This window comes from Homo sapiens, chromosome 8 (genome assembly GCF_000001405.40).
Source record: "Homo sapiens chromosome 8, GRCh38.p14 Primary Assembly".
Lineage (NCBI taxonomy): Eukaryota > Metazoa > Chordata > Mammalia > Primates > Hominidae > Homo > Homo sapiens.
The window spans coordinates 3578151-3604744 of record NC_000008.11 but is presented as its reverse complement, the minus strand read 5'-3'; the positions used below and the strand labels follow the sequence as shown (position 1 = coordinate 3604744).

The 26594-nt window shown below is 40.0% G+C and overlaps 1 protein-coding gene across 3 annotated transcripts in view; it reads left to right on the top strand.

The window, feature by feature from the left end:
* CSMD1 (CUB and Sushi multiple domains 1) overlaps positions 1–26594 on the top strand; it is a 2059554-nt gene that overhangs the window by 1390170 nt on the left and 642790 nt on the right. For all 3 annotated transcript variants that reach the window (XM_011534752.3, NM_033225.6, XM_017013731.2), the window contains exon 9: positions 18485–18609. In XM_011534752.3, coding sequence (XP_011533054.1) covers positions 18485–18609 — 125 coding nt within the window. The remainder of the gene's footprint in view (positions 1–18484; positions 18610–26594) is intronic.

Sequence of the window (26594 nt, the reverse complement as noted above, 5' to 3'; positions counted from 1 at the left end):
AGGGCACTGATGTTATAATGTTTCTCTCCTGATGCAGAGAATAATGGAGAGATATCTAGGGACCTCTAGCTCTTCCCCTCCTGTATTTCCACCTGCTTTTTGGCTCCTTTGATTCCTTTTCTTGCTTACTATTTTATTTGTCATCATTTATATACTTTATAGATTTCATATACTTATAAAGTTAGAGCAGATGCATACACTGATATCTCGGTTGGTATCCTATGTGGTATTGGCTCTCCTCTTTAGCACGTCTTCATTTCTATGATCCTTCTCGTGTTTTCCATGATATGTTGACATCTTCTGTCCTCTCAGCAATGCTAAGAGATGTGTTATATACTGACCAGAGAAAATCCAGATCTTAAGATTCGGAGCATCACCCCATGAGGTACCTGTTCCGTGCTACTTCCTGGCCACACAATCTGAAATGGACCTTTGGTCCCCCCCCGCAGCCTCCCTCCCTCTGGCCTTTGACTTTCTAGCACTGACCAGCCAGAAATTCTATGCACGTCTATGCTTCCAATTTGATTTCACTAAGCATAATTCATGTTTATATATTTTCTATCTGCCCACAAGATTCTGAGCCCCGTAGAGAGAAGAACTTTGTTTTATTCACTATCATGTTTCCAGTGTTCAGTACAGAGCCTGCTTCGAAGGAAGCATTCAGCCATTATTCACTAAGTTATTTAATTTTACTTTTATATCAGGAATGCATTTACATTTACAGGTTGTAAGGCAACAATAAATATTGATTCAGTATGCAAAATTTTCATTTACAGGTAAACTTGTAAGAACATAATTATTCCCAATAAAAAAGCTGCTGTTTCTTTGCATCATATACTGTATTAAGCATTAAGCCTTGGCCATTTGCTAGATCATTTATGTACAACTAGAAGAAAAAGTAGAAAGTATGGACATCATTGGATTATGATTGTTATTCCTTCTTCCCATCAACTAAAAAATTTAGTTTACTAATAGATGAAACATTTGTAAAGTTAGAATCAAGCCCATATATCAGGGGGTTTTTTAAGAAAATTTGGAAACTATAATGAATACAAGAGGGAATTTTAAAAACATTCAAGTTTGGTTTCTTGTTGGAAAAAAATCCCCTTTGTGACATAATCCGTTTCCATTCCATGTCCCTAAGTGGAAGACAAAGAACTGTCTTTTATTTTTTGAAACTCAAACATGATCTTATTTCTTGAACCAGTGTTCATTTCTGTAAGTGATTTTTACTCTCTTGTCTAGTGGAGAAAACAGTAAGGTGAAGGAGGACAAAGTGGGATTGGGCGCTCAGTCCAGGTTTGTCATATAAAGAAAGGAGGCTTTAGCTCGCAAGCCTTTCCTGACGTGCTGTATTTGAGCCTGCCGCGCCTAAGTCCCCTGCCATTGTCCAAAGTGTTTTCACAACTTAAAAAAAATTTTAAGGAACATAACATATTCCTATGCCTGTAACTGAAGGCAGGCAGGTAGCTTTTGAAGGAGGATTCATGGTTACTAGGAAACTGAAGCAGAGTAGGAAAAATATTTGCCGATGATTACTGCTCTTTCAAAGAGCATCAACTGCATTTTTTAAGAACTACTTAAGAAATACCACAAACAATAATATCCCATTGACACTCCTTGAAGCCTTTATGTCCCTTTGAAAAATGACACACTCTGAATGTTTCAGATCATATTTGTGTGGCTAAACTTGCTTCTGATAAGCAATTCACCAAATAGGGCTGGTGGAATATCCTCCCTCTCTCTTACACAGTCTTTTCAATATCTGTAGTAGAAAAGTAATTTTTTCATCAAAATAAAATACACATTTAAATAGTCTTCTGAGAAAATAGGTGATTGTTACTTGAGCCTATATTAATTTGTTAGCTTCAAAATACAAAACATAGTTGATGAATTATCAACAAAAGCCCAGTTTGTCATGATCATCAGATATGCCATCTCGGGGACTATTTGAATATAAATGCTCTTCAAAATGACCTTCTGTAACACTTTTTCTGTGTGTGTGTGTGTGTGTGTGTGTGTGTGTGTAATTCTTCCTGTAAAAGAATGGGTTGAAATAGGAGATGTGATTATTTCTTCCATACATTAGAATTATAACACCCTGTGACTCTTAGCCATGTGTTTGCCATATTCTACTTTAGAATAAGATTCTGCAAAAATTTCATGGCTCTGTTCAGGAGTGTCAACAACCTTTGAGGCTAAAAGAAGCCTGTGAGATCATCATCAGTGATATGCAAAAGAGTTTAGGATCAATATTAAAGCAGTGAACGTTCAATGACCAACCAGTGCATTGATTTTGGGGCCATTCCCCCTGCTCCCTAATTTTTCTAATTCCTTTAAAATCTCTTCAGAATCTCAGGTGATTCATTTTGCTTTCCTCTATGCCTCCACCGGAAATTTGTTGAAGGAAAGAAGAGAGTTAGTGTTCATTGATCTGCCCTAGAGAGAAAGTGATCTGGTTTTCCTGGGGACTCTAAACTGTGCAATTAAACACACTCCAGTTACCCCGAAGGTTCTGGTTTAATTGGTCAGGAAGATGGACCAGTCATGAAGATTTTTAAAGAGAATGTTTAATTGTGATAAAATCCACATAATATAGAATTTAGCATCCTGACCATTTTAAGTGTGCAGTTCAATGGTGTTAACACATTCATATGGTTGTATAACCATGACCACCATCCATCTCCAGAATTCTTTTTATCCTGCAAAACTGAAACTCCATACCCATAAAGCCATAACTTCCCATCCTCCCCTACCCACATCTCCCGACAGCCACCATTGTACTTCCTGTTCCTGGGAACGTGATCACTATAGACAGAATGTGCTATAACCCTCTCTCTCTCTAGGGCAGATCTGTGAACACTAACTCTCTCCTTTGCTTCAACACATTTCTGGTGAAGACGTAGGGGGAAACAGAATGAATCATTTGAGATTCTGAAGAGTTTTTAAACGAATTGGAAACATTAGGGAGCAGGGAGAATGGTCCCCAAATCAATGCACTGGTTGTTATTCAATGTTCACTGCTTTAATATTGTTCCTATAGTTGATAACTCTTCTGCATATTACCAATGATTTCACAGGCTTCCATTAGCCTTAAAGTTTGTTGACGCTGCTGAACAGAGCCATGAAAATTTTGCAGCATCTTATTCTACAGTAGATTGTGGTGACTAGTGTAGGTAACTCAATGTTAGACCTTTTATAAGTGCCTGCTGTGATTCTGATGTGCAAGCGAGGTTGGTAACCATTGGCCTGCCTGGTGTATGTCATCCGTGATATGAGATTAGAGATAGGTGACTAAATACAGATGGGCTTGCTTTTCTAAACCTGTTTGATAGCATAAACATCGTCTGATAATGTATATGGAAACCTCATCGTTGGAAAACACTTTCAGTATCTGCTGCCTTCTACAGCTCCTATATGTCTGCAGAAGCTGGAAGAATAAGGACAGCTGATTTGTTTCCCCGCAGCAAAAATCCTACCAAATCTTGGCCTCCATCAAATAATGTTCTTGGAAAAATAATAAAGATGTGAGGCCAATGAGCAGCTCCCATGAACAGGAATCCCACGGACACAATGATGCAGCACTGGTAGATCTCAGAAGCCAGAGGCAAACCTACATCTAGCAGTGATATACAGGAGTCATGGAGGTTTCTAGCATGTATGACCTGGTATCAAGCTTGCTGCCACGATATCATGCGGGATGAATGAAAAATGTCCAATCATAGCTGATTCTTGCACATAGAGATTAGTACAGAGACCCCCTTGGAATAGTTCTTTACATTTCTTGACATTGCAATCAATTCCTTCCTCTCTATCCACATTTTCAATCACATAGCAAAACCATTTTTTTATTGTATTGAAATCATTTATTTAATTAATAAAATACTGTGTTTGCAATATTGCAAAACATGCATATGAATGTTGCAAAACATGCATATGAATGTTACAAAACATTCATGGAAGAACAATGACTGCTATTTATGACTGAATCCTGTGATAGAGTGGGGATAGAGGTGGGTGCCTGGATCCCTCAGTAAAATTACCGCCCCTGCAGACTTTCGCTTTAGACCAGAGCAATGGTTTTCTGTCTCTTATCATCTGGGGTCACCAGTCGTTTTCCACTGCCACCAGCAATAATACTTGCTTGCCATCGTAGAGAATATACTGGCAAGCTGGGTGAGTAAATGGGAGCACCCTATCCCCAGGATGACATTTCATAGTCTCTGAGTGGTAGTCTTTGACACTTGGCGTCCCTTTTCCAATCAACCCTGAATGATTCTGATACACTTGACCCTTGCTGAGAACTGCTGGTTTAGAGACCTCTTAAGTTTCTGTATTCATATTCTAGGGGAAATAGAGTAGCTAGTTAGATGGTTTATCAATTTAACTAGGATCTAAAGGTAATAAATCCACCCACTCCACCCTTCAACAGCATTAAATGCCCTTTGGCACCAAATTCTAAATTTTATGAGGAATTTTACCTAAGCTTCCTATTTATACTAATGGGGAGGAGAAGGAGAAAAGGAGAAAGACAGACAGATACCTGGAAAGATTCGGGAAGCAATGGTTTGTCAGTTTTCAGCTTGCTGATGCCACCTGCAGTTATGTGTGTGTGTGTCTTAAATTAATTCCTCGCTCTCTTTACCTGCTAGACTTTTCTTAAGTGTTCAGCAAGCATTCAGAACCAGCTCTACCCTTAGTGATGAGCTGAGGAGGTGCCTCTTGTGGTGGTCATTTTCCCTGCCCTCACAATGATGCTGCCAGGAGCTTGCCATCAATGAATTGTAGAGACCGACACTTTGCTTTAAGACGTCCTGCTGTGCCGAAATGTTGCTTCCTCTGGAAGGGGAAGGTAGTCAACCATCTCACTCCATTACACTTTCTTGTGTATGAAAGAATTTGTCAGATCTGTTGCTCCCAGCAGATTTTGATGAAAGACAGGAGGAAAGAAGTGGGAGTTGCCCATGCCAAGCGGGAAGGACCACCTGGTGAAAGAAGAGAGGAGTGCAAGGTATAGGTTGGCGCCAATCTGGGCATGCAGCAGATACTCAAAGGAAAATGGAGATGTTGTTAAAGGCATAAAGCTGCAGTTACATAGGATGAATAAACCTAGGGATCTGATGTATAGCATGAAGTGGTTAATTAACAATGCTGTATTGTGATTAATAATGCAGTGTTGTGGTTAGCAATGCTGTGTGGGGGTTAACAATGCTGCGTTGGGGTTACTAATGCTGTGTTGGGGTTACTAACTCTGCGTTGGGGTTACTAATGCTGCGTTGTGGTTAATAATGCTGCTTTGGGGTTAGTAATGTCGTGTTGTATTTAATAGTGCTATATTGTGGTGAATAATGCTGCGTTGGGGTTAATGATGCTGAGTTGGGGTTAATAATGCCGTGTTGCATCCTGAGAATTTGCTAAGAGGGTAGATCTCAGGTGTTCTCAGCACCCACACATACACACGTAGCCACATGAGGAGGTGGATACATTCATTTGCTTGACTGCAGTAATCATTTCACTTTGTTTATCATTTAGGACCTTTAAATATATACAGTATCCCTCATCTCACACACACACACACACAGACACACACACAGACACACACACACACACACACACACAGCAGTAAGCAATTGCAATCCAATGTCAGCTTTTCTTTTCTTTTTTGAGACGGAGTCTTGCTCTGACACCCAGGCTGGAGTGCATTGTTGCAAGCTCTGCTCACTGCAACCCCTACCTCCCACATTCACGGAATTCTCCTCTCTCAGCCTCCTGAGTAGCTGGGATTACAGGTGCACTCCACCATGCCCAGTTAATTTTTGTATTTTTCATAGAGATGGGGTTTCATTATGTTGGTCAGACTGGTCTCAAACTCCTGACCTTGTGATCCACCTGTGTCGGCCTCCCAAAGTGCTGGGATTTCAGGCGTGAGTCACTGCACCTGGCCCAATTTCAGCTTTTCTGTGCTTTGTATCTGCTGTTCTCAAAAGAAGGGGCGGGGGGAAATTACAAATCACTACCTGGAGCCATCTCTAGGGAGGTTTTTAGCATCCAAGGCAACCCTTCAGCTACTGATTCATTCTTTCATTTCCTTAGCAAAATGAGCAAGCCCTCAGGAACTGTACTGAGCTCTTGGGATGAGGACAAATAAAAGAAGGAACAACAGAAAAGTCCTCCTCTGTTGTAGACAGAGCGTAGAGGAAGGCTCAGGGGAGACGTCACAGCCAGGGCTTGGAGGATGGGAAGGAAAGGATGTCCCCACTTGAGCCTATGGGGCGGTCGGTCCCAGAAGGAAGAAGAGCCTGTGTAAAAACCCTGAGGGAAAATCTTTCCCTGCCTTTCTCTCCTAGAGACTGACGTGAGCATTAAGGGCTGGATCTAAATGACAAGAAGTTAAAGCAAACATACCAGCCATCAAATGCATAACTACATAGAGGAAAGTAGGTGCGAGGAAGCCGAGCAGGTCTGTTTTTCTGGGGATGTTTACAGCTGGAGTTCATGCATCTACACAGCACAGTATAATTTTAGCATTAACTTCCCTAGACACCCTCTTTTCTGATATCCACAGGATCCCTTTTCTCAGATTGGCTTGGTCCTACTTAGTTTTGTTAAATGCGTTAGGAAATATATGATTTTATTTCTAGGAATGACCCAAGATTAATATAAGGTAGAGAAAAATAAACTGTATTAAGAAGAAAGTGTTTTATTGGGCTGAAGTAGGGCAAATGATAAAGAGAGGAGATATACAAAGAAAAACTTTTTAATATACCTTAAGTTCTGGGGTACATGTGCACAACGTGCAGGTTTGTTACATATGTATATATGTGCCATGTTGGTTTGCTGCACCCATCAACTCATCATTTACATTAGGTATTTCTGCTAATGCTATCCCTCCCCTAGTCCCCAACCCCCCGACAGGCCCCGGTGTGTGATGTTCCCCTCCCTGTGTCCGTGTATTCTCATTGTTCAACTCCCACTTATGAGTGAGAACATGCAATGTTTGGTTTTCTCTTCTTGTGTTACTTTGCTGAGAATGATGGTTTCCAGTTTCATCCATGTCCCTGCAAAGGACATGAACTCATCATTTTTTATGGCTGCATAGTATTCCATGGTGTATATGTGCTGGGCAAAGACATTTTAAGAACTGTGTTCAGAGTTGTAAGAAGTATGATATGGAAATGACAATTCTTGGCCTCAGTACCTTGCATTGTGGTGAGAAAAACATGTGGCTCATGTTTTATCTCAGCTGCATTTTATTTACAACTATTTAATAGCCTGGTGACCTGAAAATAACTTCTCTAGGTCTTGGGGCTTGCATTGAAAGTAGTTCCCTACTTTATTTGGGATTCCATAGAAATCAGCTTTAGGGGCAGTTTAATTCCAGTGAAGCGAGAGTGAGGGAAATTGGAACCAGACAGAGATGCCAAACGTGCTGGGAAGCTGTGCTCAGCTTCAGAATCAGCCCAGGGAGATGCTCTGTCTCACCGGTGCCTCTAGACAGCCTGGGTGTACCCCTGGGGCCCGATGTTTACCATGAGTCCTCTCAGTTCCTGTGTCCCCTTCTCAAAGTATGACCCCTGGGGCATTGATTCCCTCTGATTTTGGGCATCCCATATGTCTGCTGAAGAAGCCAGAGCCTCAGCAGGCTCAGTGCAGCCAGCGTTTGGGTGAGGTGGCTCTGTTTTATCGGCCAATATCTTGCAGGGCTCCTGGCTCTGGGTGGCATCAGCACCTGGGTTCTGGATTCATGGCCACAGAAACAGAGTGAGCCATTGCACCAAACAAGGCAGGCAGAAGTGTGCTGCTAAGAGGGGCACTTGGAAACTGAGGCATGTTTGCTGAGCGCTTGCATTGTGCCAACTTCTGTAGGGTGCAAGTATATTCACATCTTTTAGTGTCTTGTAAACATGCTTTTGGATCTCATGTGATTACTGGTATGCATGTATGCATGTGTGTGTGAGTGTGTGTGTTTGTGTGTGCCCTGAATTATAGCAGTGTTTTCTTCTCTTGCCCACCCTCCTGGCTCTTGTTTTGTGTGGTGCTCCTTAAGCCTGGATACTGTGGTTGCTGGTCAATTACAAACAACCAGATGTGAAGGATAAATAAAAAAAATTGCAAAGTTTTGCCAAGTGTAGATATAAGCCCGGGAGGAAATATTTGCCGAACAGTCTCTGTGTATTTAGGATTGTTTACTGATCAACCACGGATTTAAGTGATAAGTTCCCAAGTTACAAAAAAAGAAAGCCCATTTGAATCCAGCATCCCATGATGCTGAGCAGAGGGCCCTCTGAGTCTCTCGTTCTCATCTGTGATTTGGGAATCAGCCTCCTCCATTGTTGACTTATCGTGGAGGCCCCAAAGGTCTGCCCTGACCTGAGTGGTTAGTAATATATGTCACTTCCCTGCATGCTGTACCTGGTTAGCTCCAGCTGCTGCCTGGGCATGTTCATGAAGTAAAACAAACTCATGTCTGCTGCTATTGTGTGAGGCTGATGCATGATGGAGGTGTGAGCTGGACGGTGGTGCAGGCTGCCGGGGCGGTGGTGCAGGCTGCTGGAGCTCTGCTTCCTTCTCCCATGTCTCTGCCTCCGACACTCCTCACTGTTTCCTCCCTCGAGCTACAGAGCAAAGAGCATGATCCGCAAAACGCCTTTTGGTCTAGAGTTCGAAGAGTCTCCTCTGGCTTCCTAAGCCCACGTGGAAAATAGGCACTGACGTTGCTCTCCTCAAAGCCCTGATAAATTGTCAGGAAGGAGGCAAAGGGGCTTTCACCTTGGATCTCAGGGAGACACAAAAGAGAAGAAGATGGGAGAGGGGCTTGCGGGCAAAGCTCCTTCCCAAGCCATGATTCCCCACAGTCCTGGCTGCATCCAAACCCTCTTCCACGTTCACACAGTGTGCAAACAGCTTTTGCCTTTGTATAGATAGGTGGGTGAACGTGAGGATTTAATTTTTCTACTTCGCATGACAAAGTCCTGTTGTTTAGCAAATGGCAGGTTTACATGAACTTATAACATAACTTGGAACATTTAAATCAAATTCCCTCACACAAAAATTCACACCTCATTGTCAATGCGGTGCTTCTGAGAGCTAGTCACAGCTGGAAATTGCCAATCACTCCAAGCTTACTGTTGCTTATACCCTGGAACCATCCTATATTTTGATTGTCATTAAGGGATCTTTGTTGGGCTATTGCTAACACACAGTATCTAAAAATCACATAAAATATTAGTTTCCTTTCTTTCCTCAGGCTAGAGAGTTCCATCTACTCTCTGATGCATTTTTAGTGGTGTTAAACTGCCTTAAGGCTTGAAGAAATGAGTCTAAAAATTGCCGCTATGAAAAGAAAAAATGACCCAGAAAAGACACATTATGTGTGAAAGTCAAACGGGTAATAAAAGGCATTTCAATATCCACAGCAGATGCACATTCATCTCTCCGATGATGGCATTTTCTGGAATGCTGAGCAAGTCACACAATGGGACATTGTTTCCCTAGCATGTGGCTGGCTTGCTTGCAAATGGTCTTCCCAGCCTTCCTGGTCTTGCTTATTAGGATCGTGTCCCTAAGGGGCATCCCTCAGCAGAGGCCATCCGGTGAATTGTCCAAGTTCCCATCTGAGTAGTGTAAAAACTCCCTTATAGGACAATCGGAGAGGATACCTAAAGCATTTATTTTAAAATAGAGATGAATGTTCCCAAGGGTTCACGTGCCGCGTGGATGCTGAGAGACTGCACACAGAGGCCGGGTTGTGTTTTTCTTCCTAAAGCCCTTCAGTTCAGAGGCTTCTTCCACATCTAGGAGATGTTCTGAATTCCTGCTTCTGCCTCCTGGTTTTTGCTCACATTAGTTCCAAAGGTATTTATTGCAGGGCTCTCAGAAGCTCCATGAGCAGTGCTGGAAGCTGTGAGAGATTTCAAGGTGAATGACACACCGCGGTTCCCTCGGAGGTTAACACCTTCCCAACCGGCCTCTTCTCCCAAGCCTCCCACTCTTCCATACTTCTGTGCTTTGTGTTAATATCCTGAGACTAAACCTGAGATGGAGCAATAAAGGAACTAAGTTATATGCCTCAGAAGTGAGAGAAGGGAGGTGAGGTGGAGGCAGAGGGTATAAACCTAAGTCATTGTATCTACTGGGGAAGGACACCGTGCAACTTCAAAACAGGAAGGTAGGAGATAGCCTCCATGGTAATGGAAATAACCTTTGAAAAACATTCCTGGACAAACCAAGTTATATGCAATTGTCTGAACAAACCTCAGCTTTGTTACCAACAGGGTTTTGCTGTGGTGGTTTTTTAATCCATAACACATATACTCATTTTGGAAAAAAAAAATACATTCTATGCATCTTTCAAGACGTAACCCAAATTTCAGTTTCCAGCATAAGTTCTTCTTATCTTTTTACTAAAGGCAAATCAGTTCTTTTTTGTTAATATTCCCATAGCAATTTAGATTTAATATATTGACCAAGAGCTGTTTGATGAAGTATCTCTTACACTAGCAGCTCATTAATACGGTCCAGGGCTCGCCTCATGTCTGGTGCATTTGGGGACGGCCGTAAATGAGTGCCAAACCCCTGTAGGTCGGGCATAGCAGAGGCCCATGGAAAAGAGTGAAGAGTGAGGAGCAGCTAAATGTTTTCAAGATGCTGAAGAATATTAGATATTGGAGGTGTTCTGGTTGGTTTTTCCTCTCTCATTCCTTTTCTTGAATCAAACGTCACTCTGTTGCTCTAAAGTTAGAAAAACACTGTCGTCTTTCTAATAGCGTTTCCAGAAAACTTTTTAGCACCTTGTTCAGGAAACTCCCCATATAACTGATTCTACGTATTGGGAAAAAGCAGTGTTTTAATGTGAAAATCAAGTAAGATGGAGGAAGGCAGGGAAAGAGAAAAATAGAGAAAGAGAGAGGGAGATAGGGAGAAAGAGATGGCAAAGATGGGAGAATGACCCATATATAATAAGGATAGCAGTGTTATTTGCAAAGTAAGTTAAAATGGATATATGAAGTTGAATTAATAAGTCTATAAATTCTGATGTATAAAATGTAGTTTTATTTGTACTGTGATTGGTAATTTCTTTTGTGGGATCCTCATTTTGTCTGAGTCAGAAAACTTTATCTGTTCATTCTTAAAAGAGTTAAAATTAGTGATTTCCCAGTGAAGCAGGTTAAAAGTCAGATCTGGACATCCCTTCACTCTCTCTCAAGGACGTTAAGGGCCCGGGCTGTGGAGAGGGCATTTTGGCCTTAGTGAGAGCAGGCATCTCTCCTCCATCCCGCCTGTGCCACTCACTCCCAGTCATAACCTTTCCTAGGCCTCTGCCCTGGAGGCAGGTGGACCTGGGGGAGGCTCATGGGCTTGACCTTCTCCATCACGGGCTCCTCCCACCTTCTCCAGACTCTATGAAGCACCAGGAGACACAGGGGCTTCTCCATGAGGCCACAGCTGGGAACTAAGGAGTCCTGCATTACTCCTGAACACACAGACACAACGCGGGGGTTCTGTCTTGTTCTGTCTCCTCACCCAGCTTGGGTCTTGGTCCCAAGTATGGTGGGGAAACATGACACTGGGCTTCCACAGCCTCCACGCCACCATCACACTTATCACCACAGCTCCAGTGACAAGTTCTGGCGGTAGCCAGACCGCTTTAAGCAGGACTCAGCTCCATTCCTTCTCACTGGGCAGGACCCCCCAGCCAGGGCTTCCAGCCTCTCCTGCCTATATCCAAGCACAGGCCAGGAGTTCTGACTTCTCCTTGGGATGGGGTGCCTGCGGGGAGGGCCAGGCCACCACCTTTGCTGTTTGGGCAACTCATCGATTCCACACTGTGGGCTTTGACTTTATTTCTTATAGTGGAGAAGCAGGAAGTGGGAGAACCTACCATCACATCTCCTTTACACCTATTTCATGATGTACACCTGGATCCCACTGTGAATTTGGAAGTCTGTAACTTTTAACGTGTGCTGTGCTAGGACAAAAGTCCTCAGAGTTTTAGTAAAATACAGGGGGAAGAAAAATCAAAGCTGTGCATACTCACACACACACACACACGGATGTGCACACACACACGGATGTGCACACACACGTAAACACACACATAGACCCTTCAGCATTCACCCTTCCTCCTGCTCACAGCTTTGTTCCTCTTAAGCAAATACTTTCATTCAAGCAACATTTCTAAACCTTTGATAAAGTGTGGCTGCAGCTACTGCCCCCATGCCATCCATCTCCATTTTACAAGGACAAATATGGCAAATCCAGGCTTGAATGTCACGCTGAAGAAAAGGTTTCCTCAAATTTTTGTGTTTTCTGCTGCTTGAGACTGAAAAACATTTTACCTAATGTATTTTTTCTTTTTGCTGAAGATGCAAAAATGTTTAAATGCCTACCTTCGATACCTAATAATATATATATATTCCTTTTATATTTATGAGTACTGAAGTATATGTTTGAAGTGGACTTTTTAACACAGAAAGATATATATCTGTCTTTCTATAGCTATCTATCCATCTATGTATCTATCTATCCACTTGTTTATCTTTCTGTCCATCTATCTGTCATCTGTCAATCTATCTACCTAACCAGATGGATATCTACTTACCTATCCATTCATCTATCTATCCATCTATGTATCTATCCATCTATTTATCTGTCTCTCTAATCCGTCAATTCCTCCATCTATCTATCATCTATCCATCTATTCGTCTGTCATCTATTTATGTATCTATCTACCTATCATCTATCCATCCGTCTTTTATCTATCAATCTATCTTTCCATCCATTCATCTATCCATGCATCTGTGTATCTATCCATCTATGTATCTGTCTAATCCATATATTCCTCCATCCAGCTATCTGTCATCTATCCATCTATTCATCTATCATCTATTTATCTATCTAATCTATGTACCTATCATCTATCCATCCACTGTCTATCCATCTTTCCATCTTTCCATCTATCCATCCATCCATCTCTTTGTCTATCATCTGTCTCTCCGTTTATCTGTGTATCTGTCATCTAATCTCTCTATCATCTATCTATCTATCAATCATCTATCTCTCATCTATCTATTGGTTGCATCAGCAGATTCAGTAGACGCTGAGCAGTGTGGGTTGAAAAGAGAGGTAGGAGATCCTTACCTAGCCAGTCAGTAGATTAGTGTAATCTCTGGTAAACAGCGGACAGCTAAGTCAACCCATTTCCTGTTTTGAACATTAGTTTAATCTTCGAGTCACCTCAAATTATTTTTCAAAAATAGTTATGATACCAATGTTTAATAAGTTCTCAAATAGTTATGCTCTATGAGAACCATATTTAGAAATTGCTTGTATTACAACTAAAGCGTGTTTGGAAATAGTTTACTCACTTAGAAAGAGTCTTTATACTGAGGTAAAGTGAATTATATGGTGATAAATGTCTTCCGAAATCAAATACGGAGCAATTTCAGAAGTGTTAAGCATTGAAGAAGCAGAAAATGTATGTTTCCCTGTTGTATTTAATTGAAAAGTCAAAATTTTGCTGCTTTGTTTGAGTTAACTTTTGCTGTGTGATATTTATTGTCAATGTACCATGTATCTTGATCTTACACAAAATCGGTTCTCCAGTATTTCTTACAGTTACTAACTACTAACAATTGTCTCAGTTGTGCAACGTAATTAATCTAGGGCGGACTAAAGTAACTTGCCAATAGAAAGGCACTGCTAGCTTTTTTCTCCTGGAATTTTCCTCTGAGACTTCTTTCCAGAAAACCAAGTTAGATTATCTGATGTTATATCTGATTTATATTACTTCAAATATAGTAATCATAAATCAGTGAAAACTTAGTTTATTATATATTCGACATCGAAAGCACACATGGCTTGGAAATTGAACTGATTCATGTGTTAGATAAAATGAGAGCAAAAGATTGAATTAATAAATTAGAATTGGGGTCTTATTTAGTTTCTGCCTCAACTTGATTTATTCCCACGTGGAGTCTCCTCCTCGGCTGTGCTGCTGGAATGGCGTTTACCCACATTGGCTCTGTTTGCCAGCTGCAATCAAATGAAGAGGTTGCTCCTGTTAATATTTTTAATGCTTTGAAATTAGAGAAGCTTCCATATTCTATTGATGGCTTTTTCCGATAATTTGCAAAAAGGTTTCATGATCGTAATTATGGAATGTGTTCTATACTGTACTCTCAATGTACTGAATATGAATGTGCGCAGAGATTTCTGGACTAGCTTGTGATACCAGGTGATGATTGTGGAAGCTCAGGAGCAATCCTCCGCTCTCCACTGAACTAGTCTTTGAAAACTTTCCTTTGGTGGAAATCTGAGAAGAGTAAGAGCCGAGTTCAGGTCCTGGAGAGTGCACATGACTACCTTGATGGGTGAGAAGAAAGGAACGGTCTAATAGAAACAGCCTAAGTGTTTTTATTTTAACTTTTAAATTATAAAGTAATAGAATCAGGAAAAAATATAATCATTTGAATATATAAACAAAAATTTGTATTGTGATACTTGTGATACTACCGCTCAAAAATGGGTTGTGCCTATCTTCCTAATATTTAGATATAAATATAGATAGATCATAGTTATTTTCAGTACATACAATTTTGTATTGTCCTTTTTTCTTTTTCTATATTACTACATGTCATTTTTATTTTTCTTTATTGCTACATATATTTTATATTTGCCTTTTATAAAGCGATGTTGCATTCTTTCAAATATATCCAAAAAAATTTAGTCAAGCACAGTCCTGTTGTTGGACACTCTAATGTCTTCTGAAGAATATCACCAGAAATTTCCTATATTTTGGATGATAAACATATATTGCCAGAAATGAAATCAATTAGTCAGAGTGGTGATATTTTCTTTTCTAAAATTGAGAAAAACTGTAGATATTTATGGTGTACATGAGAGTCTGGAATATGAATACATTGTGAAATGGTCAAATCAAGCTAATTAACATACCCATTACTTCACATATTTGTCATTTTTCATGGTGACAACTTTCAAAATCTCTCCAGACAATTTTCAAGTATACAATATGCTGTTATTAACTACAGTCACCATGCTGTGTAGTAGATCTCCTGAGCTTATTTCTCCTAAGTGAAATTTTGTATTATTTGTTTCCTCTCCTTCCTCCAGCCCCTGATACCCACACTCTGCTACTGGGAGTTCTATTTTTTCCAGATTTCACCTAGAAATGAGATCATGCAGTACTTGTCTTTCTGTGCCTGGTTCATTTTACTTAGCATAATTTCCCCCAGGATCAACTGTGTTGTCACAAATGGCAAGATTTCCTCTTTTTTAAAAAAGGCTGAATAGTATTCCATTGTGTACACACACGCGTGAACACACACACACACACACACACACACCACATTTTCTTTATCCATTTCTCAGTCCAGTGTTGGACCCCTGCATTGATTCCACGACTTGGCTATTGTGAGTAACGCTGCAGTGACTATGAGAGTGCAGATATCTCTTCAACGTATTGATTTCATTTCCTTCAGATATAGGATCAGAAGTGAAATTCTAGATCATGTAGTAGTTCTATTTTTAATTTTTTCAGCAACCCCTATACTATTTTCCATAATGAGTATGCTAATTTACATATTTTACATTTCTAACAACAATGTACAAGGGTTCCCTTTTCTCCACATCCTCACCAACACTTATTATTTTTTGTCTTTTTGATAATAGCCATCTTAACAGGTGTGAGTTGATATCTCACTGTGGTTTTAATTTGCATTTCCCTGATGATTAGTGACACGGAGCACCTTTCCATATACCTGTTGGTCGTTTTTATGTCTTCTTTAAAGAAATGTCTATTCAGGTCCTTTGCCCATATGTTACATGGGTGATTTGTTTTCTTGTGATTCCCTTGTTTGAGTTCTTTGTATTTGTGGATATGAACGCATTAGCAGGTATTTTGTTCTCCAGCATCTTCTCCCATTCTGCAGGGTGTCTCTTCACTCTGTTTGTTGTTTCCTTTACTGTGCGTAAGGGTTTTAGTTTGATGTCATCTCGTTTGTCTGTTTTTGCCTGTGTTGTCTGCGCTTTGGGGGTTTAGGCTTATTGATTGTTTTTCTCAAAACAGAATACAATTTGCTACTGATACGTAAAGGAATATTGGTTGGATGTAGGAAAAAAATGCATGAAAAAGATAGAGGTGTTATAGGAGCAGAGAGCCCTCCATGACTAAGGATTGGTGTGCTGCAGTCGTTGAAATATAGTGCTTGCTAAGTTGAAGCAATGCTTCCCCCATCCCTCCCTTTCTGTTTGAACTCCCCTGGAATATTACACTGAATATCAGTGCCTCAGGTTAAGGGGATCATTGAAGAAGTGGCCACACTGAAATTCCAACTCTTCCTACCCGAGGACTCTCATGTCATTTTATTTATTTTCTTCATGGTGCTTTATGACTTTTTGTTTTCTTTATGTTTGGTTTGGTTATTTTTTTCTTTCTTAACTATTATGTTATCTATATGAGATTGTGGCTTTGTGCTATTCACTTCTGCCGCTTTGGTACTTAGAGTGTGACACATAGCAGATGTTCAATGACAATATATTGAAAGAATGATGAAAACTATGAATATTAAAATGTAGGTAAACAGAAAGAACTGGAGACTGATACCTGGAATAGAAAACACAAAGATATAACAATTTTTTAAAAGAAAATTTCTTAAATGAGGTTTAAACACAGACCAATGATCAAAAACGATGGCGGCAGAATATGTCTACAATTACAGATATCTTAAATAACTGTGATGGCTAGCAATGAAAATGGGAATCACGACTGGGTTTTGTTTTTTTGTATTTTTCACATTTCAAATTAGTACATATTATGTTCTTATGATGCCGGGTTTCTCAAAATTAGTTCCATAGAACTCTAGTTGTCCTAGATTCCTGGTGAAAAAAAGAACTTCCTAGACAGATAAATCTGGAAAAGTCTACATCTTTTGAATTCTCTTCATTATTTTCTAAAATAAGCTTTTGCATATTAAGTTTTATTAAGATGAGATGCCCCTTTAGAAAAGAAATGTGTTTAATTTTGTTTACCTAGAATTTTCCCAGTTGCTTTGACTCTGATTTGATGGCTGTTGCCGACATCCATGGCAATCCCTAGAGAGTGTTACATAGATGCCGTGGGGGATGCTGGTGCGATGTTACTTGAATGATATTCACTCTGATATTATAGATATGGATTTTTTTTCCACTAAGCAAGAAAGGAAAGCATCTATTTATGTTTCCCCTATCTTGTCTCTATGATTAACTTCATCCATCCACACTGACAACTGTGCTTCTTTTCCTTCACATCTCCTTATTTCAATTCTGTTTCCTCAACATCAACCCGTGGTTTCTCAAACTAAAAACATGAGTAGAATTTCCTCTTGTAACAATGCGCTTGTCAGAGAGTTAAATAAGCCTACATTTAATTCAATGCCAGAAGCCAGGCTCAGAAGAAGTAACTGGGTGGTGTTCAAACCTGATCTCTGCCTCTCACACTTTTGAATGCAGCTGTCCAGTTTGTGTTCTGTGACAGTGTCTTGTTAATGTTTACAACCGTAAAGCTCCATGTTTGCAAATGCAGCTCTGGAGCCAGGGCAGTTTTTTCTCTAAATCCAGGCTGGATGGATTGCTTTCTTCTAAAACACAGGTGGGTGCAGTGGCTCACGCCTGTAATCCTAGCATTTTGAGAGGCTGAGGCAGGTGAATCACTTGAGGTCAGGAGTTGAAGACCAGCCTGGCGAACATGGTGAAACTCTGTCTCTACTAAAAATACAAAAATTAGCCGGGCCTAGTTGTGCACATCTGTAGTCCCAGCTACTCAGGAGGCTGAGGCAGGAGAATAGCTTGAACCCCGGAGGCGGAGGTTGCAGTGAGCCAAGGTCGTGCCACTGCACTCCAGCCTGGGTGACAGTGTGAGACTCTGTCTCAAAACAAAACAAACAAACAAACAAAAGAAAAGTAAAATATTCTGTTCCTATAAGAATTTCTGAAATATCACTAGCTTTCTTTTAAATATAATTAACATGTGTGATAGCAAAATACAGTCTTTACTGACATATTTTCTTAACCTAGACTTTTTTACTTCTTGTTTTTGTAAAATATTTATTCACGATGAATGACATCCAACTTCCTCTTGTTTTCAGGGTACAAAATTTCTTCACATTTATTTTCTTATTAAAGCCACACTATTCAGTGAAGTCATTTTTGCTATTTTATTCTGTCTTAGTCATGACAAGTTAAGGTTCATGTGTTTGTTTAGTTCTGAAGCTGGCACAACAGGAATCTGAACCCAAGTCTTTTGATTTTATAACCTTTGCTAAATTACAGGGTTGCCTCTATACATACTACCTAATGAGTTGCTTAATGTCTTAGGCTGTTTTAACTGAACAAGATCGTAGCAGCCATTTTGCTGATTTTTTTTTTTTTCCTAAAGAAGTCTTCTGTAAATAATTTGGGTTTTTTTTTTTCTTTTTTAACGGCTTAGGGTTGGTGCAAATGTACAGTTTTCATGTGAGGACAATTACGTGCTCCAGGGATCTAAAAGCATCACCTGTCAGAGAGTTACAGAGACGCTCGCTGCTTGGAGTGACCACAGGCCCATCTGCCGAGGTAAGGCACCTGCGGTGGGTAAAGCCTGGATTATCTCTTTCTTTAAGGTTGGCATTTTTATGAATATACAATTTAAGCATGAAGCATTGTGTATGGGAAGAGTAGAATTCGGTAGTAATGTATGTTTTCATAGTGATGTGGGTAATAACAGAAACCTTTCCTTGGAATTTGCTGAGAGGCTAACATTTCCAAGAATATTTTTGTGTTTTACATTTGAGGATAGATGTGAGCAAATCCACACATACTGAGTATAACTTGGTATCTATCAATACACACAAACAGTGTGCATGTGTGTGAATATATGTCCCACAGCTGGACCTGCCGGAAAGGTTTCTGTGCACCCCGCAAACCTAAAAATGTTCACTTTCCTATTGCAGTGAGGTTGAATTTTTTAGGTATTAATTATGTAAGTAATAAAAGGAATTGTTAGCCTGATTGCAAATCATCATTTTATTAATAAATGATCTTTAATCTCTAACATAGTTAGCAGAGTAAAATATTCATCATTATTGTCATCATCATTTTCTAATAAAACATACGAAGTCAGCAAAGGTTAAATTACTTATTTTTTACTGCTATGAAGTATACACAAATTCTTACCAGAATTACAGAAATCATATTGAAAAGCAGAAAATTATTTTGGTTGTTTTAAAATGAAAATAATAATAAAATTAAAGAAATGCTGGGTTTGGAGGTTTTGTTTTTGAATTTTGGCCATAAAATGATTTATGTAAACTGGTAGTTTTGGGAGAAAAAGCCCTAGTTTGACTAAAAAGGAAAGCTTCATATGTAAGAATACCTTATCTTTCCATATAGTCTTTTCACGTGAATGGACTTATACATTTTAAACTTTTAAGCATTTTAGTTATTAAAAAAGGTACAACAAGCATAGTGTCATTGCAGCCTGTGAAAATAACTAGTTACCAAACACGTCACTATCGTCCTCTAAGCTAAGAATACTCTTTGGCCCCATTTACTGTATTGTACCTGGTCCCTATAACCACTAGGGGTCAGTCACATGCAGGGGATACAGCTTTGCAGGACCCGCCCCACCGGAAGGGGAGGGAGGGTGTATGGCCCAGCTGATAGCGAGTTGTCACCTCTTAAATGGAGACCCTTCAGGAGAGTCAGCAATCTCTGGTCCAGGAAATGCACATGGCTGTCCCCTTCTTTTTGTCACTAGACAACTTTGATTGTGCATTTTTCAATTCTAACATAAGACCCTTAAGCACTTCAAAGAGCTGTACTAAAATTCATGTTCCCACTAGGGCTGGTGATGCACAAGCCTCCCAATTATACAGGAGGAACGAGTCACATGGATTATTTTTCCTTTGGGGAAAAAAAAATCCTTCAATAGTTTTCTTGCTCTTATATCCGGGAAATAGGCTTCATTATTTTTAAAGTTCACTTTAGACAAATAGTAAATGTGCATTCTTTTAAATGTTACTTTTAAATCAGTATTTTAGAGTAACTTAAATATTTGCCTTTATATTATTTGATTTTATATGTTTACCTATGACATTGCCTTTCTTGGCCCTGACTCTCATCTTAAACTCAAAGCCCTTTCTCAGTATCCTATCCCAAAGATATCACACACTCAGAGGTGCTTATCACTTAGGAAACAGCTGCTCCATCCAGGCTGAAGGTGGAGACATTTCTCCCATCCTTCTCAACCCCCCAGCTACTCACGCTTAGAGATAATTAGAAGAGGATTCTTTGTGGTTTCCTGTTCTCGTCAATTCAAGTGTCCCACTTGATCATATTTTGGAAGAGAACACTTTTTTCGCAGGGTCTCTCTTGTTTGGTGTGTTTGGTTTAGTTTTCTGGAACGTTACTAGTAATCGCCAAGACTCTGCCTCTTCCTTTCAACTCCACAGGCAAAGAGTGCCTGGCTTTGTCAATCTTCTGTTCTTACTGATGATTCCCTCGTTCTGCTTAAGTTAGATATACTTTGATCAACATTGAATAGTACTTCAGTTCTTATTAGTTCTTATTAAGTTTATTACTTCTAATAAATTTAGTAAGAAGTAAAAATGTATTTGAAGTAATAAACTTAATTTTTTGTCTGAAATAATGACTTATACTGCTGGAAATAATTCCTAAGGAGGTGTTTTTATAGTGGATGGGTTTTACTAGTGTTGACTCAGTTAGACAAAGGCCATGCTCTCACATATTTTTGAGATAATCGTTTCTCCATCTTGGACTCCTGCTGACACTTCAGAGGGACAATGCTCCTTATCTATCTAGTTGCATCAGTTGATAAGATGGATAAGAAACCCTCAATTTCTTGAAAAGTATCCTTTCTGGGACCTAATACTTGTGTTCTGACCTTACAGTCACTCTGAGGTTTCAGGGCATGGCTGCGCAGCCACACGCTCTGCCTTTCCTGTCTAGAATGCTTGTGCAGCTGTAGCTTCCAAATGGCAGCCTCTTTTGCCATCTGCAGAGGCTGAGAAGTTTCAAAATCACCCAGCCCTGATTCCTGTTTGTTTGATAGTCCTCCCCTCAGTTTATGTCTTTCCTATCATGTTTTAGTATCAGCAGCAAGAAGAAATCAAGTGGCCTCTTGGACACATGGCCTGCAACTCTCCTTAGCTGTCCATCTGTGTTTGTCGCTGAACACCCTGCTTCCTACCTAATCACAGAACCACTTCTGCTAAGCTTCTGCCACCTCTTTCGGTTTCCAGGAATATCTCTAGCTCTTTCCAAGTCCCATCAAGAGTATCCTTACAAGATAGATTTCTACTAGCAGTCTATTCGAGGCACCTGAGGCCTTCTCTATGACACTCCCCAAAACCATGCAGCTCTGACCCACAACCCGGTTCCAAAGCTGTGCCCACATTTGCTTCAGCAACACCTCATGTCCAAGCAGTTGACTCTGTGAGTAAAAATTCAAGCAGAGAAGCAAATCCACTAGGATGGAGAGAAATGTGTGGGCTTAGATCAGGGAACTGGCTCACATGATTGGTAGGGCTGGCACTATATCTGAATTCTGAAAGACAGGCTGTTAGGAAGGAAAGATAGGGATGAGGCCAGGCTCCCCAGGAAGAGGTCAAAGCTGCTGTCCACAGGCAGGAGTTGCTCTGTAAGGGAAATTCTAAGCCCTCTTTGAAGACTTCCCAACTGATTATGTAAAGGCCAGACAAAATAATCTCCTTAACTTAGTCAGTTAATAAGGTAGTTTAATTATGCCTCCAAAATCCCTTCACAGGAGCACCTAAGTTAGTGCTGGATTGAGTAACTGGGAAAGGTATGTGTTTATTTCCCAAACTATGTATGTGATTTTGAAATATTTAGTAGCTAGACTAAAAAGGGAAAGAGAAACAGGTGAATTTAATTGTAATAACATTTTATTTAACCCAAATACTCCCAAATAGTATCATGCTAACATATAGTTAATACAAATATGATAATGAGATATTTTATATATTTTCTTTTTTTCATACTTTGTTTTGGAAATCCAGTGTGCATTTTCTACTTAGAGCATAGCTCATCTCAGACCAGCTGCATTTCAGGTGCTCAGTAGCCACGTGTGGCTAGCAGTTGCCACATATGACAGCGCAAGTTTAGACATTTACAGTTATGATTTTCTTCCTCACTATGAAAAACCATCAACACCCTTGTAGTTGTGAAGAGGAGAAATGAGCCCAGTGAGTTGTGCCCCACTTCCTGGCTGGCATCCCTCTGTAGAACACTCTTTCTTCAATTAAAATACGTAAGTTCCTCAGGTTGGCAACTTTTAGGAACCCTGAGTATGTCACCATTCCCTTTTTTAAGTAGCGTCTCAATTTGCTTCCGATAATGGATTCATCCATTAGAGAAGAGGTGAAAAACATTTATAAAAGTGGAGCTTTTATAACTTTTTATAAAAAGATAACGTTATATATCTACAGTGTCCAGGAAAATGGATAAATCCTACCTAAAACAGACTACAGGGAATCGTTCTTTGCTGTTGACACGTTCGGTACAGCAGGGACCATTTTCCAAGTTCATTTGTCACTCTTCCATTACCACAAAAAATAGTATCAGAAAAGACAGCATTGGCCAGCGCGGTGGCTCACGCCTGTAATCCCAGCCCTTTGGGAGGCCAAGGCAGGCAGATCACCTGAGGTCAGGAGTTCAAGACCAACCTGGCCAACATAGTGAAACTCTGTCTCTGCAGAGTTAGCTAGACATGCTGGTGCATGCCTATAATCCCAGCTACTCGGGAGGCTGAGGCAGGAGAATCACTTGAATCTCGAAGGTGGCGGTTGCAGTAAGCAGAGATCGTGCCACTATACTCCAGCCTGGGTGACAAGAGCAAAACTTCATCTCAAAAACTAAAAAGGAAAAAAAAAAGACAGCATCATAGTTTTGAATTTTCCTGATTCATTCTTAGCCTCTAAAGGTGGCCTGATAATGATCGTTTCTGCCACATATTCTCAACTCAACCGTCTATGAAATGCAATAAAATGCCCCTGGTCTGAACATCAGGTCCATTCTGAGCATAAAGGTATTCCAGCGAGGTGCATCCAGGAAGGACTGATTCTCAAGGTTCCTATTTTCATGAAGGGACTGTAACTCTGAAGTAATGATCATGCCTTCTCTGGAGCAGGAATATCTGATGGAAGCATTCGATAAATTGCAGTGAGTCAGAAGTGATCCTTCCATCTGGAGGCTGGTGTGGTTAGCCAATGCTTACATTAGCTAATTAGCTCTGAGAACGGGGGGCAACATTACCTTTTCTTCCTGTTACCAAACAGATGAATGGTTGTCATAGCTCAGTAATTATACAAGTGATTTTGTTTGGAATTACGCTTACTTCATTTAGGAATATGAAAACAACCATTATGATTTTTTGCAGGGTAAGACATTACGAGCTGTTTAAAACTGTATGAGTATCTTTAACTGGCAGTAGATTTTTAAAATAAGCAAACAAAGTGGAGAGAAGAGTATATCGTTCTATTTTTTTAAGTAAAATGTTCAGGCTGGTACTTCATTCCATCAGTCTTTAGGGGCGATTTATGTAGAGAACTTCTTTAATGCTAATGCACTTTGATCTGTAGAGTTAATATTTTGAGTTGCTCCCTGAGATGAAAAGCCCTCTAAGAGAAATAAAGTATTATTGCCAGTTGTAACTGTGGTTACCTGTGAGCTAATTGGAGCCAGGCAGAGTCAGGGAATAAAGTTATTATTGCGTTGGAATTTCAGATGAGGTTAGCTAAAAATTATTCTTAATTTGTGAACTCATCATTTACCAAAAACTTTTACAGCTTTTTCTTTTCCATTGGTGTTTTCTGCCCTTGTAGAAATGACCTTTTAAAGAGTAATAAGAAGATCATTTACCCCGAAAGATGACTCTTCTTTATACCAGGTTATAGATCCAGTGTCAGGATAATATTTTGTGTATTTGATCAGGTAACCACTGTCTCAGAGATTTAGACAGAAGAACACACGGTTAATTTTTAATTCCTGTGAATTTGGAGAAATTTCTGCTGCTGTTTCCTGACTCCTGAAGCTTTATACTTTTTACCTGAAGGTCACCTGGGAGAAAATATATTTTTCTCCTTATTATTTTTACTAAGTTATTGGCAATAATATAGTTTTGTATCTTATACTACTCTCATACTCTATTGACATCAAAGAACCTGAAAGCTAACCTTAAGTTGGTGCTATTTACATTCCTAGAGCTTGCCAGGGGTGTTTCTCTCCTAGGATTCTTGCATTTGGTTTCCCCTCTCTGGAGTATCCGCCTCCCCCCAGGTATCCCTGTGACTGTCCATTTATGCCGTTCGTCAAATGCCATCTGAACCCACGTCCTTCCAAAACCACTTCTTACAGAGCAGGCCTTTTCCCTCACTTTACAAATCTTTTATCTGCCTTTCTTCAAAGCAGTTTTCTCCTTCTGACATTATATGTCCATGTGTTTGTTAGTTTCCTGCTGAAGGCAAGAAACTTAGTTTTGTTCTCTCTCCGCCATACCCTCAGTGTTCAACTCATGATGAGCACTGCATGTATACTTTTTTTCTTTCTTTTTATTTTCTTTTCTTTTTGAGACAGAGTCTCCCTCTGTCACACAGGCTGTAGTACAGTGGTGCTATCTTGGCTCGCTGCAACTTCCACCTCCCTAGCTCAAGGGATTCTTCTGCCTCAGCCTCCTGAGTAGCTGGGATTACAGTCACCTGCCACCACACCCAGCTAATTTTTGTATGTTTCGTAGAGACAGGGTTTCACCATGTTGGCCATGCTGGTCTCAAACTCCTGACCTCAGGTAATCCACCCGCCTCAGCCTTCCAAAATGCTGAAATTAAAGGCGTGAGCCACCACACTGGCCTTGCTGTGATATGTCAGGCCATGTAGTAAATGCTTTATTGTCTTCTTTTATTCAATCCTTAGAGCAATCATAAGTGGAGTTATGATTATTCTAATTAAATAAGCTGAGTGGCTTAAAATTAAATAAGTTAAGATGAGACAGCTACTGACTACCTAAGCCAGGCCTGGAACCAGGTGTGGTGAAGGAAAGGAAGTTCTTAGCCTCTGTGATATATTATCTTCATTATGGTTCACAATCTGGACGTAAAATTTGTGCTTGATAAAAATGATTTCTCCTAAAAACATATGAGAAATAGGCTATCCAATGTAATTATAAATTTGCTTTAAAAAAAGCTTCTAATGCGACTCCTGAAATCCCACTAATTTAAATTTAATCAATTAGAATGTTTCTTCTTTCAAGTAATTTGATTAATTGAGTAGTTACTATAGAACCATAAGATTTCCTGGAATTGCATTTAAATAAACAGATAAGTTATTACTTTTATTAAGTAAGATAAATTGCATGAAACAAACCTATTTTATACTTAACAAATATTCATTGATTAAGTGGATAAATGTCAAAATGGCATGCATTGGCATCCAAAATTGGTCATTTTTCTTCTCCCTTTCCACTTTCCCTCCTGACGTTTTATATTTTCAATTTATCATTCTGTGAATTCTAGTTTTACTGGGGAGACAGAAAAGATGTAAGTGAAATTTGAGTTTACAGGTCTGGAAAACTGCCAAGCAAGTAACATCAGGTGTACATTAGGTCGTAGTTATTATCCAAGTACCTTTATCAAGCATGTCGGTGAATTTTACTCTCTATTAGATGTTATATTTCCAAGAGGCAAGGCCTTTGCAAGAGTAGAAAGAGGCATTCTACTATAGTTTGTGTAAACGTGCGTCTACAGATATCCACGATGGCAACTTACGGAGAGAGATCTTGTTTTAAAAACTGGCTTGGCACTGGTATACTGTAGTTACTTAATTATGCTGGTTAATCACATACTTCGTTGACTAATTGAATGCCTGTTTAGCACAGAAGCTAAGGGAAGGAAAGAAGTTTCCCTGCCTCCAGGGATGCTATGAAATTGTCCAGTCCCAGTCAGAACAGTTTCCCTCGGCTGTCTCCTGTGTGAGGAGCTGCCCAATCGGTTCTTTGCATGAAGTGAAAAACCAGCAGAGTCCATGAGTGAAGAGAGAGGCAGGTGATAAACTTTCATACGTCTATGTTTCTGAGTCAGAACTTATGGCATCGTTTCGTGACCTCCCAGAACATCAGATAAATTTGTATTCAATACAGCCCCCCAATAGGCGACAAAGCAACACGGATATGGTTTTTAGATAAGATAATGGCAGCCATCCGCTTCCTTTGCAAGGGCCTGCGTGCACTGCCGAGATTTTCTCGACACCCATTATTCTTCCTGCCTCGCAGGCTGCTGTGCCCTTCCCGTCTAACTAGAGGATTTCTAAGGGAGGACAGCAGGCATCCCTAACAGATCATCACCAAAGCTCCCTGAGCAAGGACACTCACTCATTGGATCTACTCAGTACAAAGCTCAGCCCTGGGTCATCTCTTCTTTCTCAGCCTGTCCCATTTTCTTCTCTAACTCTTCTTTTTCTATTTTCCAAATACCTAATTTTTTAAAGCGTAACATATGGTAGACATGAGAAATTATACCCTTCTGGTG